At 56.8% G+C, this 13,596-nt stretch overlaps 1 protein-coding gene across 5 annotated transcripts in view; it reads right to left on the reverse strand.

Moving 5' to 3' along the window:
- The window catches only part of ARAP1 (ArfGAP with RhoGAP domain, ankyrin repeat and PH domain 1), a 67,340-nt gene that overhangs the window by 1,511 nt on the left and 52,233 nt on the right, over window positions 1–13,596 (reverse strand). For 2 of the 5 annotated variants that reach the window (NM_001040118.3, NM_015242.5), the window contains 17 exons: window positions 12,838–12,973; window positions 12,426–12,528; window positions 11,332–11,527; window positions 11,019–11,070; window positions 10,744–10,907; window positions 10,404–10,616; window positions 9,970–10,075; window positions 9,139–9,286; window positions 8,963–9,049; window positions 8,808–8,876; window positions 8,401–8,518; window positions 7,113–7,226; window positions 6,746–6,891; window positions 6,174–6,206; window positions 1,876–1,958; window positions 1,109–1,159; window positions 860–923 (listed from right to left, as the gene is read on the reverse strand). In NM_001040118.3, the coding sequence (NP_001035207.1) occupies window positions 860–923; window positions 1,109–1,159; window positions 1,876–1,958; window positions 6,174–6,206; window positions 6,746–6,891; window positions 7,113–7,226; window positions 8,401–8,518; window positions 8,808–8,876; window positions 8,963–9,049; window positions 9,139–9,286; window positions 9,970–10,075; window positions 10,404–10,616; window positions 10,744–10,907; window positions 11,019–11,070; window positions 11,332–11,527; window positions 12,426–12,528; window positions 12,838–12,973 (1,883 nt within the window). The remainder of the gene's footprint in view (window positions 1–859; window positions 924–1,108; window positions 1,160–1,875; window positions 1,959–6,173; window positions 6,207–6,745; window positions 6,892–7,112; window positions 7,227–8,400; window positions 8,519–8,807; window positions 8,877–8,962; window positions 9,050–9,138; window positions 9,287–9,969; window positions 10,076–10,403; window positions 10,617–10,743; window positions 10,908–11,018; window positions 11,071–11,331; window positions 11,528–12,425; window positions 12,529–12,837; window positions 12,974–13,596) is intronic. The other 3 variants (NM_001135190.2, NM_001369489.1, NR_161388.1) reach the window with 2 other exon arrangements.

Below are 13,596 nucleotides of genomic sequence, written 5' to 3' on the forward strand. Positions count from 1 at the left end.
TGGTTGTTTTGTCTCCCTTTCCCTAAACACATATGAGCTCTCACTTTAAAAACTCTGTGTCTTAATTCATCTGTTTTAAGTCTAACCCAGCCTCTGGCCCTGCTCTGGCTCAGGAGTCATCCCCACCATGTCCCTGCCTGGGCTACCACAGCCACTGCCTCACTGGCCTGCTCACCTCTGGGTTCTACCCTCGGTCCCACTGCCCGACGCTGCACCCAGAGTGAGCCCTCGAAGACTCAAGCCTGCACCACACTCTGCCTAAATGCCACCCCCACCCCCGCCAGTGGTTCCCCACTGACCTCTGTGTCGAGGTCAGTTTCCCTGGCGTGACCTACAAGCCTCTTCTGAGATTCTGCTTCTCACTCCCTTTCCTGTGCTGACTTCCAGCACTCCTGGCTTCTCCCCTCACATTCCACTGTAACAATCTGTGCTTCTCTTGCATATCTCTGGACCTTTGCCTAAACCGTTCCCTCTGCCTAGAAGTCATCCCCCTCCTCTATGCTTGGTGAATTCTCCCACATTTCCTAAGACTCAGATCCCCTGGGCTCTTCACTGCCACCACAGCACTGATCACACTGGGCTATAACTGGCCACTTCTGAGTCTGTTTTCCTGTCCACATGAGGGGTGCCCCAAGGGCAGGGTCTGTGTCCTGTCTGTCCCTAGCATCCCTGGCTTGGGGCTGGACTAACAGTAGGTGCTAGGAAGGGTTTATTGAATAAACTAGCAAATGAATTAAAAGCAACTCAAAATCTCCTTGAAGCAAGGGGTGGGTTGAATAGCACAGAAGCCAATGTCCCCATTCTCCATAATGGAAGCCTCCAGGGACCCACCCCACACCCCACACTCTGCACCTGGTACCTGCACAAACAGAAAGGTAGCGAACCACTCCCGGAGCTCCATCTGTGTGTCACAGCAGAGGTACCTGCAGGGTTGGACGCGGACCCACATGATGCCAAAGGCCTGACTGAGCAGGGAACACCGTGTCTGCCTTCCCAGCCCAGGGTCTGCTAGTGGTCACAGATCTGGGCAGTGATGAGGGACACAATGAAGGGGGACGTGCCACCATCTTTCCTCAGCCTGGGATCTCAGGATGAGGCGCTCACTCACCACTGCTGCTTCTCATGTTTCTCTGTCTCATGCACCACTGTGAAGCCCCAGCTACAGAGGAAGAAGGGAGAGAGTTGGGTGTTTGACAGGCCATAGAGGCTCAACACCCCAGTTCCCAGGACAGAGCCCAGAAGCCACAGCCAGAGCCAGAGCCAGAGTTCAGAGCCTTCTCACAAGAGTGGCACATCCTGGCCTCTTCCTGTCTCAGCCCCAACCAGCCTCCCAGGCCCTTGACACCCCTAAGCCCCAGCCCTACCCTCAGAATCTGTGATTCAGTAGGAATGGGGTGACACCTGAGAATTTGTGTTTTTTTGTTGTTGTTTTTTTTTTGAGATAGGCTCTCACTCTGTCGCCCAGGCTGGAATGCAGTGTCGTGACTACGGATCACTGCAGCCCAAACTTCGGGACTCAAGCGATCCTCCCGCCTCAGCCTCCTGAGTAGCGCGCCACCAAACCCAGTTAATTTTTGTATTTTTTTGTAGAGACAAGGTCTCGCCATGTTGCCCAGGCTGGTTTCGAACTCCTGGGCTCAAGCAATCCACCTGACTTGGCTTCCCCAAGTACTGAGATTACAGATATGAGCCACTGCACTTGGCAGAGAATTTGTGTTGAAGGTGTGTCCAGGTGATGCTGCTGGTCTGGAGACCACACCATCAGAGCCCCTGCACCTATCTCTGTCAAATTAAAAACCCCAGCTGTGCCTCCCCCATCAGTTCTGAGCCCCCATAAGCCCCAGTAGCAGGCCTATCTGCCCAGTCCCAGCTTACCAGGTGGGTGGCCTGAGTTTCTTCTTCACTCCCAGGTAGACTTTGAGACTCTTAATAGGCCACTCCTTCTCAGGCCGGTGACTCTGAGGTAGGGCAAGGAGAAGAGGGCACTTTAGTCTGCAGAAAGGGCACTGGGGCCGCTCTCCCGACTGGGCAGCTCCCTCTTCCAACTCCCCAGCCCTCTTTGCATCCCAGCACAGGGCGCCTCCTCCAAGAAGCCTTCCTGATAAAGCCCTCCCTGTTCACAATCTAGCCCAACCAACCTCCCAGCCCTAGGCCCCCAAGGCCTGTCTCCCTGCAGCAGTATCAGACAGTCAACCCTCAGTCTCCGAGGCAGCCGTCCCAACTGGGACATCTGTAACAGCGAATCCCAGCACCACCCTGATGCCCTGCAAACTGGAGGACTTGAAGTATCACCCTGAATCAGATTGTATGTGGAGGGAGAACTGTACATCCTCCCCCAGCACCAAACTGGAACGAGCGGGTGTGATCAGAGAGCCTCGGTTGGCTGCCTGTGTCTATGTTCATCTCAGATTATTCATTTCTCAGCCCTCTCTGCCCCATGGAGGCTCCAGGGTTGACCGTGTGAACAGAAGGCTTGAGGGACCAGCAGTTACTAGCTCTTTGGTTCCACAAGGAGGCTAATGACTCAAGCTGAAGCAGAACAGCTGTTCAACAGACCACAGGAAGAACTTCCCAATGGTCTAGGTCAGGAAGCGAGAGACCAATGTACTGGGGAGGGACACCAGATTGCCAAAATGTTCACCTCTGGCCCCCGCCTCTGCATATGGGTCTGGGCTTGGAAGGAGCAGGCTGGCTCGGAGGCAGAGGGATGGGGGCAATGACCCCCAAGGAAGAGGCTGGTTGGAGGTCAAGCTAATGAGGCTTCCTCCTGCTCTAGGAGCCACTTGCTTGAAGCCCTACCCCTACCAGGCACCCCTGGAGTCCACAGGGGCACCAGAGTGAATGGCAGGGGAGGGGGATTCACTTACAACCGAAACTGGGGGTCAAAGACTGAGCCACCTCCCCCCTGTTCCCCACCATTGCTCCCAGCCACCACCAGGCATGGCTCCTCAGCAGGGGCCAGAGAAAGGACAGCCAGGGGAAGGGGAAGTTTTGGGAACTGGTGGACTTCCTGTGATATCACAAAAGGATGGGCTGCTTAGGGACTGGAGAAGACCTCTGTGCTCTCACAGGGGGTGTGGCTTAGGAGGGCCTTAGTAAGGACTTTTCACTCTGCTTTTACCCCGATACCTGCTGATTGGAAAGCCTCATGTCTTCTACAGACAGCACCTAACCTGATGATGGCCATGTGCCCAGGAGGGCCTGGAACCAACTGGGCTGCAGGCATGGAACAATCAGGGCTGCAGACAGGGAGGAAATTAGGCAGGCGGGAGGAAATCAGGCTTCGGACATGGAAGAAACAAGATGTGGGGGAATATAAGGAAGAAACCTGTAGGCACACACAGAAGAAGCAAGGCTGGGAGCACTAGAGCAATCGGCCTGCAAACTGGAAGACAGCTGATGGCAGAAATGGAAAGACTGAGACAGAGGCTATAAAAGAGATTCGGCTGCAGGCATGGAAAACACAAGGTTCTGGGTATGAGGAAGGATGTGGGGGAAACTGGACTCCAGGTACAGGAGGAATCGGCTGAGGGGATGGAAAACAGGCTGTGGGTTTGGAAGAAGTCAGGCTGTGGGTGGGAGGGGAACAGAACTAGAAGCAAGCAGTCAAGTGAGTTGAGGGTGGACGGGACAGGCCCAGTCAGGCGCAGAGGCAACTGCAGGAATCAAGACATTCAAACCAGGCTGTGGCTCCAAGAATGAAAACACAACCCTCAGGCCTCCGATTCCTTGGGGTCTGATGTGCATGACATGTGTGTGATGTAAGGGTGGCTGAGTCAGAAAGTCTGCAGAAGTGGGTCTTGGGAGGGAAGGATGTCAGTCAATGCAATCTCCTTTTGAGAATGAATCCCCCAAGCTGGAGTGTAGTGGTGCAATCTCAGCTCACTGCAACCCCAACTCATGGGATCAAGCCATCCTCCCACTTCAGCCTCCTGAGTAGCTGGGACTACAAGCATGCACCATCACATCCGGCTAATTTTTATAGAGACAGGGTTTCACCATGTTGCCCAGGCTGGTCTCAAACTCCTGGACTCAAGCCATCCTCCCACCTTGACCTCTCAAAGTGCTGGGATTACAGGCATGAGCCACTGCACCTGGCCCAAGGACATTTCTAATCAGACGGCTCATGTTTCCAGCATCTCCAAGGCATGGGGCCATGGGCAGACAATGACGTTTACTCTTGATGCTTAAGGATCTCTGCTGGAACCAAGATCTTTCTAGCATGTGCCTTTTCCAGGTGCCTCAGGGTCTTTAACAAGAGGAGACCCCCAGGATAAGGCACAAGTGGACATATATCCTACTGAATCACCTGAGATTGTCCCAATTTCAAATATTCTGTCCTACTGCCGCATAAACCAACAAATGCCAGAGTTGATAACCCCGTGGTAACCAGCTCACATCTGCTCAGGGCCTCTGCCAGGCCAGAGGTGTTGGCTGTCTCTGGGGTGTGAAGAGCACCACCTACCCTGTGCTGAGCACCCCTCCCTGCTGAGTCCTCAAGTCTGAGACTTCCAGGAATACAAGCTTGCGTTTCCACACTAAGAAACCTGGGTGCAAGTCCCAGTCTACACTTATAGATGGCCTTGGGCAAGTCACACAAAGCCTGTTTTCTCACCTGGAAGTGGGGACAGCCCTCTTCCTCAGAGAACAGTAGTAAGGATTCCATGTCTCAGTATGTGAAGGGCCAGCACTAAGCCAGGTTCCTTAGGGAACATTAGATCTCATCCCTTTTTCTAGCTCTCCTGCCTCCTTCCTTCCATGCCCAGGGATCCACACGTCCCTTTCCAGGTACCTCAGCCATCTTCCCTCCCTTCTGCCCACAGTGAGGGTTCTAAACACTCCTAGAGGGAGGCGGCCAGGGAAATAGCATCCCAGAACCAAGGGGGATTGACTGGATGGGCAGATAGGCTCAGAAGTGAGGATGTGATCACAGAAGAGGGCAAAGGAGAGAAGAGACGGTGTTTCCCACAGGGTTAGCAGGAGCCCAGGATGCATTAGAGGAGGCACAAAATGCAAAGAGAAGGAGATGAGGTCCTGCTCTATCTGCTCTGCTCCTGCCATGGCAGCCAAGCCTGTTCAGATGACCTCAGGAAATGCAAGGGGCAGGAAGAGGCTGAAGACACTGGGGATGGGGTGGTGGGTAGCTGTGGGAGCTCAGGCTAGACCACCAGGCTTGGAACCATGTCTCTGTTGCCCATCCTGCAGGGCAGCAGTCCCCAGTCTTTTTGGTACCAGGGACCAGTTCTGTGGACAACAATTTTTCCATGGGTGGGGGGATGGTTTCGGGATAAAACTGTAAAACCTCAGATGTTCAGACATCAGATTCTCATAAGAAGCGCACAACCTAGATCCCTCGCTTGCACAGTTCACAGTAGGGTTCGCACTCTTACGAGAATCTAACGCCGCTGCTGACCTAACAGGAGGCAGAGCTCAGGCAGTAATGCTCACTCGCCCGATGTTCACCTCCTGTTGCACGGCCCTGTTCCCAACAGTTGGGGACCCCTGCTGCAGGGCATCTATGCTCTGTAGCCCCCAAGGCATAGCTGGGACCCATGGGGGCATCATGAGATGCAGATTCTCAGCAGAACCTGAGCAAGGACCTTTTCCAGACAGAAGTATCCCCCTAGGAACAGGGCAGCCCCAAGGGCGGAGGGATGAGCTCTCTCTCCTAGGAGTGTGCAGAGTGGAAATAGCCAGCCAGGAAGCCTCAGAGAGACTGCTACCCCAGGTGGGGGTATCCCACAAGCCTCTCTCGTCCCACCCCGGCATGTTAGGATCAGGGCAGTAGCAAGAACATTCTGACAGTCCTGGAACACTGTCCAGGGTTGGAAATAAGGTGGCTCCAGGGATGACAGGAGATGAAGATCAGGGCTCTAATTCAAACCTAGGTGCCATCATTACTGGCTCTTTAACTTCTACACTAAGTCCTTTGGAAAATTCTAGAGCATTGCACTGATAAGGAACCCTATATTGGGGAAAGGACCCTGGGACAGGATTAGGGATAAAGGGGAGGAGCTTAGGCCCCAGGATAGGGGCCAGTGCCAACGGGCAAGGGGGCAGGGATCCATGCCTGGAGATGGCCAGGAGCCCTGGCTGTCTCCCCATGCTCCCACCCAGCTCATTTGGCCCCCAGGTGGTGTAAGGCAGCTGGCAGTCAGCCCACAGCTACTCACGGTCTCAGGGGCCCCGCTCCACGGCCTCTGGCTCTGTTTGATAGAGGATCAGGGTTATGGAAGAAGTCCCAGGTCTAGAGCCAGGACAGCATGTGCAGTGATGTGTGGGGTTGGGGTGTGTGTATGGCATGTATGTGCAGAAGGTGGAGGGTGTCAAATGGAGTCTGGGTTGGGAGAACACCTGCATGTGGACAGAATGAGGGAGAAGGGTGGCCCGGGAGGCATATGACATACGATATGACAAGGCATGCATGCACAACTTGGGGCTGTCATCAAGTAACAGGTTCCTGTGGATGCAGTGATAAGGCACAGGCACAGTGAGACAGAGCATGGGCATGGAGTGGTGTGATGGCATCCGGGTGCCAGGGCTTAGTGGGGCTACAGGGCACACTAGAGTGGCCGTCCAGGGCCACAGCAGGAGGGGTCTTGAGAGTCTACAGTTCTCCCCCACTGCTGTGCCATCCTGAGAGCCTGTAACGGGAATATTTCCACTTGCAGACCAAGGGGAATCTCTGAGCACATTCAGGTGTACAGGTGCCCACCCTGGGGCAGAACCCAGCGGGGCCACTTACCCGGACCTCCTTGTAGAGCCGCAAGCAGCTGCTGTTGAGGATGAAGTAGCGATCGTGGAAGCCACCTGAGGGCAGGCCCAGGCCCAGGAGGCTGCGGTCCTCACGGAACTTCATCATGCCATGCTTGGTGTCACCGACACGGCTGGCTGGGGGGTGGGACTGGAGTGGGCACAGGCTGCACCAACCCCTACCCGGGGCTGGGTCCCAGGATGAAGGAAGCTGCCCCATCCTGCCCCAGCCTCTCCATAGAGGCCCACCCACTTGGCGCCCTCTGTCTGAGCTGTTCCTACCTGGCACCACCAGGTCCCACCCTGGCTCTGGAAGAGAGGACCACCCGGAGCCTGGCCACCCTGCAGGCACCACCTACCCAGGTACAGCAGCATGGCCTCCATGGCCTGGTGCTTCTTCACCACCAGGTGGCTGTCCGTGCCCAGCCCGTGCAGGATGGGCAGCACCTTCTCCGCAAAGTGCAGGGGGCGCTCTGGGGAGAGGTCACACCTACCGTCACTGGGACCACATGGCCCGATACCACCAAAGGCTGGCAGATGGGCACATATCACCTACACATCCCCTGTCCACTCCAACCATATGCAAGTGCCACGACACAAAACACCACCATCATGACCACCCTTCCCATGACCAAGCTTCAGGCTTGACACACCTGGCTGTGACCAAAGCTGCTCAAATTCAACATGTGCAAAACCATGCCCATGATCTCCACCCCCTGCCTCCCATCCCACCCTCCCTGTGGCCCCCATCAGGGAAACACCACCACCACCCGCCAGGCTGCTCAACTCAGAAACAAACCCCTCCTCCCTCTCCCAATCCACACGTCGAATCTCTCTGCTCTGTCTATCTCCACTGCTGCCACCCCAGCCCACATTACCGCCTTCTCCTTGGACGAAACCATGGCCTTCAAAGTGTGCTCTAATTTCCCTCTCCCCACCCATCAGCGAGTAGCAATCTTCTTAAACTGCCATTCACTAGCCCTCCGATGGTCTTGCATTGCTGCTAGGCCCTGCATGGCTGCCTCTGCCTCGATCTCCAGCCCCACCCATGTCACCACCCCCTCACTGCCCTCGTCTCCTTGAAAGGGCTGTGCCTCTGCCCACCACAGGGCTTTTGCCTTCTTCACCAAGTAACCCCTACTCTTCCTTCCCATCCTGGCTCAGGGAAGACCTGGCAATGCCAAGGGTCTTTCCTCCACAGCAGTTAATGCATCTGTAGTTGAACATTTATTGGTATGATCATTAGACTAATGCCTCCGTCCCACACCAGACTAACCCCCACGAGGATAGGGACTGTGTGTGTGGCTCCCTAGCCCAGTGCCTGGCACTCAACAAATATAGTAAAACAAATGAACAGATACAGCCTCATCCTCCACTGCCATCAAGACCACCTTTACCATAAAATACATTTCTCACCTCAACCATCACCACTGTCACTGACATCTTCTATCAGCCACATGACAGCCATAACCTCAATCCCTGCCAGCACCCTATCACCACCATCACAGAGATCAGTGTGACAGCAACATGTCATCAAAGCCCTTTTCACCACCCATCCTCATGTGCAGGGTAGGGGAGGACAGACTGGGGCTACAGCTGAGACAAGACAAGCCATACCACACCCTGCACAAGCCCAGCGTCACCCACCTGCCTCCTCCCTCTCGTTGACCTCAAAGCAGGTCCAATAGTCCTTCTCCCTGATGCCCACGTTCCGGCGATCCAGGATCTCCAGGGTGAGCTCCTCAGCAGTCATGGATGCTGGGACCTGCAAGGACCAAGGAGGAGATTAGCCTGCCTGTGCCTAGCCCCTGCTCTGCCACAACCTTGCTATGTGACTCAGAGCCTGAGCCCATCCTTCTCAGGCCCTTCTGGAGTCCTGGGATAGAGAGGGGTATTTCTGAGTGGTCCTTAGGAGCAGACCCCAGCACCAGCCAGATACAGGTCCCAAACTGGTCCTCTCCTCGGGGTAGAAGCACTGCTCCCCTGGCCATCTGAGCCTGTACCTGGCCCAGCCTGATTCTCTAGCCCCTTGGCTTCTAGGTCCCAGCACCTACCTTGATATGCTGCTCAGTCTCTGCCTTCTTCTCTTCCAGATACACTGTGCAGATGAAGTCACCGGCATGCTGCAGGGAGACAGGGCTCAGCTGGGGGCCTAGGAAATGGGTGCAGGTGGCAGGTCCAAGCCCCCCACCCAGGCTCCAGCCTTCACCTGGGTCCCACTGGCAGTGCCAGCCACGCGCATCTTCACAATGGCAGTGATCTCCTCCCGCTGCTTCCTGAGCTCTTCCTCATCCACCTGGGAAGGGGCGAGAGGCAGGGACAGGTGGTCACCGTCATCTGCAAGGATCACCCCTGCCCTCCACTGCCCACTGGCCAGGGACGCACACTAAACACCACCACATAGTGGTTAATGAGGTCTTCCACCACACGGCCAGCCTTGTAGTCCTGCCCATCTGTCTGGAAGAGCGTGGGCCCAAACACAATTGCCAGGTTGTGCACGTTCATCTGGTTCGTGTCTGAGAAGCACTGAACACTGGAGAGGGGAGGAGGAGGGCTTTGAGTGAGGAGTCAGGCCAGAGCTTCCCATCTCACCCTATTAATTTCTGACAGGTCCAAGACTGGTCTGGTCAGAGGGGACCACTGTTTAACAGGGTAGGAACAGTTTTTCTGGCCATATCTTGGGTCCTGGTAGGAGCAGGACTGGGAAGCTGGGAGATCCAGACAAGGTACCCTGGCCCCAGTTGGAAAAATCCTCTACAACAGTGGTCCCCAACAGTTCTGGCAGAAGGGATTGGTTTCATGGAAGACAATTTTTCCAAGGACAGGGTCGGGGGGCAGGGGATGGTTTCAGAGGCATTAGATTCTCATAAGGAGCGCGCCACCTCCCATGCACGGTTCACAATAGAGTTCCGATCCTTTGAGAATCTAATGCCGCGGCTGATCTGACAGGAGGCAGAGCTCAGGCAGTAACACTTGTTCACCCACCACTCACCTCCTGCTGTGCAGCCTGGTTCCTAACAGGCCACGAACCTGTACTGGTCTGTGGCCTGGGGACTGGGGAACCCTGCTCTACAAATATCCAATGTTAGGGCAGATCACAGTCAGCACTTGGTGCAAAAGCCCAGCTGGCTCCCAGAGGAGGGTAGTCAGCCAGGGTGGGGGTAGAAGAACCTTCATCCCATCCCCCCAGAATCTCACAATGGTATCGTCCCTCACCAGTACAGGTGGCTGATAAGGGCCTTCACTGTGGCCCGGTTGACAGGGGGCAGCCGCACCAGCAGCTCTCGGTACCTGGAGACCTTCTCCTCCTCGTCCTCAATCTCTGGGTGGGAAAGATAAATCAAGTCAGAAACCCCCTGTAACTATCTTCCCCCCACCCCGCCTGGGCTGCTGTGCCTCTCATGGTGGGTGACAGCAGTCCCTGTGCCCTCCAAGTCAATGCAGGCCAGGCATTCAACCAGGGTAAGGAACTCTCGGTCTTCCAGGGCCCCTGGCTCTGTATGGAGCGGCGATGGGAATGAGAAGCAGAGGCAGGCAACTGGAGCCTGTGGGTTAGGGTAAGCCTAGTGCAAGTGCCACAAGGGAAGGGCGCAGGAGTCCGGAGGGATGGGTGGAGGAGGAGGAGGCTGGGCACGGGCTGCAGGGCCCACCTGAGGCCTCCAGCCAGGTTAGGCGCTGGGCGCGAGTGAAGAGCCCATCAGGCAGGTCGCGCAGGAAGCGCTTGAGCGCCGAGGAAACATCATCCACGTGCTGCTCGCCCTCCTTGAGGTGCACAGAGCGCGCATCCTGCCGCAGGCTCTCCAGCAGCCGCTGTGTCTTCGATGTCTGCCCACACTTGCGGTAGATGCCCTCGGAGGTCAGGCCTAGGGAGGGGCGGGGCCAAGCGTTCGGGGCCTGAGGCATAGAGTCATGGGGCGGGGCCGCGCAGCTCTGGGGCGGGAGGCGGCTCTCCGGGAGGGGCGGGGCTGGCACCCTAGGGGCAGGGCTCACCGCACTGCGTGATGTAGTCCACACAGCGGTACACGATCACCGGGATATCCGAGTCCCCAAGCTGCTGCTCCGACAGCGTGTCCCCCATGCTGGCGGCTGCTTTCTGGATGGCCCCCAGCCAACCCATGAAGTCCAGCCGCCGCTCGCCCTGTATGTACAGTGTCCTGGGCCAGGGACAGTCAGTCACTGAGGGGCCTACACCTATCCCACCCTGTCCCCAGGCCCATCAGACTGCTCCAGCCTTCTCAGAGCCCCTCAGGGAGGCCGTGGCTCACCTCCTTCGCTCCACCAGCACCAGCACCTGGTTCTCACTGTCCCCCTGGATGGCTGTGGAGGGGTTAGTCAAGGTGAGGCCCAGGTCTTGCTCCTGATCCCCAACCTGCTCCCTCCCTCTGTGAGCACACACACACCCTTGAGACCCGCCCACCAATGTATGGGGTGGCTGAGATGCACCCCAAGGACATGAGAGGGCAGGATGGCGGCTCTGGCCAGGCCAGGCAGAGTTCAGATTTCCAGGCAAGGGCTGGGGGCCTGGGAGCCCAGGATAGGGTGCCCTGGAGGCTGGGGGCCCAGGTCTGGTCCACGCACAAAGCTCCTGCAGTTTCCGTAGTTGCAGCGGCTCTTCGCAGGGCCCCTCCGGGAAGACAGCACGGAGCTCCGAGCCACTGAGAGAGAACCAGCCCTCCTGGGCCCGCTGTAGGCTCAGGCCAGCTTTGTAGGGTAGGCGTCCCAGCCGCTCAAAATCCCGGGCCAGCAGATCCTCGGCTAGGGGAGGCACGAATGCCTGGCAGAGAGGCGCCGGGGGAGACAGCATCAGCCAACGGCACTGCCTGCCCCAATGCCCCAGCTCCTTGGCTTACAGGCACATGCCCTCTTCCCACCCAGCTGCCTTCTCTTCTCTTCCCCAAGGCAGAACCAAGCCCAGTGATGGAACTTGGGTACCATGCCCCACTTCATACCCACTCAGATGTGCCCGCCTCTGGAAAGCCTTCCCAGACACCTTCTGGAGGGCCCTTCTCTGGGCCCCCACAGCACCAAAGCATTCTTGCCCTCTGTTGTGGCACTGGTTACACTGCTGCTGCCGCCTGAACTACACCCGCAGGGGAGCTGTCTCCCCCACCCACATGGGTGCTACTGAAGAGCTAGGACTAAGCCTGGTTCATCTGGGTCCCAGGTCTCCGAGGGCTGACTCTCAGGAGGCGCACAAGACAACTGATCAACGGAGAAGTGAATGATAAAAAGTCACAGGCTCTCACAGCACAGGGGACCCCACAGGCACCTGGCTCTAGTCCCCGAGGCAGAGCTCTCCCGGTGGCCTCCCTGCCTCTTCCCTCCAGCCTCTGCTTGCTCGCCTCCAGGAACGAGGAGCACACCCCCTCTGGAGGCCGCACTGTCCATCCTAAGATGGCTCTGACTGTCATTCACTGTTAAACACTTATTGAGCACCTATGGAGTGCAAGGCCCACAGCCCTTCTTCTGCAGAGCTAGGATAGGTCTGACCAACTCCGCAGAGGGCTGCAGATTACAGTAGGCTCTTGGTGGGACAGGCCCGCTCCATGTCTGCTGCCCTGCATCTAGCTTCTGCTCTCTAGACGGGGGAGCTGGGATACATGGGATTGGCCAGGAGGCCCCACCTTCCCCAGTCAGACACCCTTACACCCACCCTGCTACCCCAGGCTCACCTTAGCAATACACTTGACCCACTCATGAGCCTGCTCCGCACTCTCCAGCCCAAACAGGTACAGCCGTTCTCCCTCCGTGTACACCTCAAAGGTGTGCTCAAAGCTGCAAATACACAGGCCAGGACTCAGGCCCACCTCATCCAGCACGGGCCCACCCCCAACCCGCACCATCAACCGCCATCCTCTGCCCCCTCCGCACTGCCTTGGCGCTTGTCCTTATTCTGGTCCCCTAAGAGGTGGTGGAAAAGTCTTGGGCTGGGGCCTCAAGAGACTGGAGTCGGCCCTTGTGCAGCCTCCGTTTGCTGTGTGACTCTGCGGAGGTCCTCCCCTTCTCTGGGTCTATTTCCCTGTCTCCCCAGTGGGGGATTGTACCTTATAGCAACCACAGTCTGATTTGCCCAGGAGTACTCACCCATGGGTGTCAGGAGGGGGCACTGCCAGGCACACAATCTCGCTGGCCCGAATCTCTCCATTGGGGGTCACTGCCCGCTCATTCTCAAAGTAGCTCAGGACCCCGTCACCAAGGACACACCAGCGCCGGCTGAACTCTGGGGAGAATTTGGGCAGGGGAGCCATCAGGGAGCCCCCCACCACCTGAAAACCACCTCTGCATCCTCCCGGGGCTCCTGCTCCCATCTGACCCATGAGCTCTTCATTCTCTCAAGTTTTCCCTAAATCCATCCACCTCTCTGCATCCCCACCACGCTAGCCAGCCCACAAGTCATCCGCTCCCCCAGGCCTCTGCAGCAGCCCCTTCCAAAATCCCAGAGTGATCTAGCTAAAATCAGACCCCATCCTTCCTCTAACCAAAACCATTCCATGGTCCTCAGGACAGACTCTGTGCCCCTCAGCCTGCCATTCAAGGCCCTGCCAGGTCTACCCCTGCCCGTCTCTCCAGCTGCCTCTCTGTCACTCCTGGACACACACATCCCTACCCAGCACTCCCAGCTTTTGCAAACCTTGTCCCCTCTACCCACCACCTGAATGTCACAGGAAGCCTTCTATGCCCCAACCTCCTTTTCCAGAAGCATCTATCACTCTGTACTCTGCCTCCTGCTACAATGGCTCTGAAGGACTGGCAAGGTCCCATAAAAGAAACAGAAATGGGAATCTGGACCAGGAAAGGTAATGGAAAGGATAGGCTGTCATGGCCATGCAGGCTTGTACCGTT

This window comes from Homo sapiens, chromosome 11 (assembly GCF_000001405.40).
Source record: "Homo sapiens chromosome 11, GRCh38.p14 Primary Assembly".
NCBI classification, from domain to species: Eukaryota; Metazoa; Chordata; class Mammalia; order Primates; family Hominidae; genus Homo; species Homo sapiens.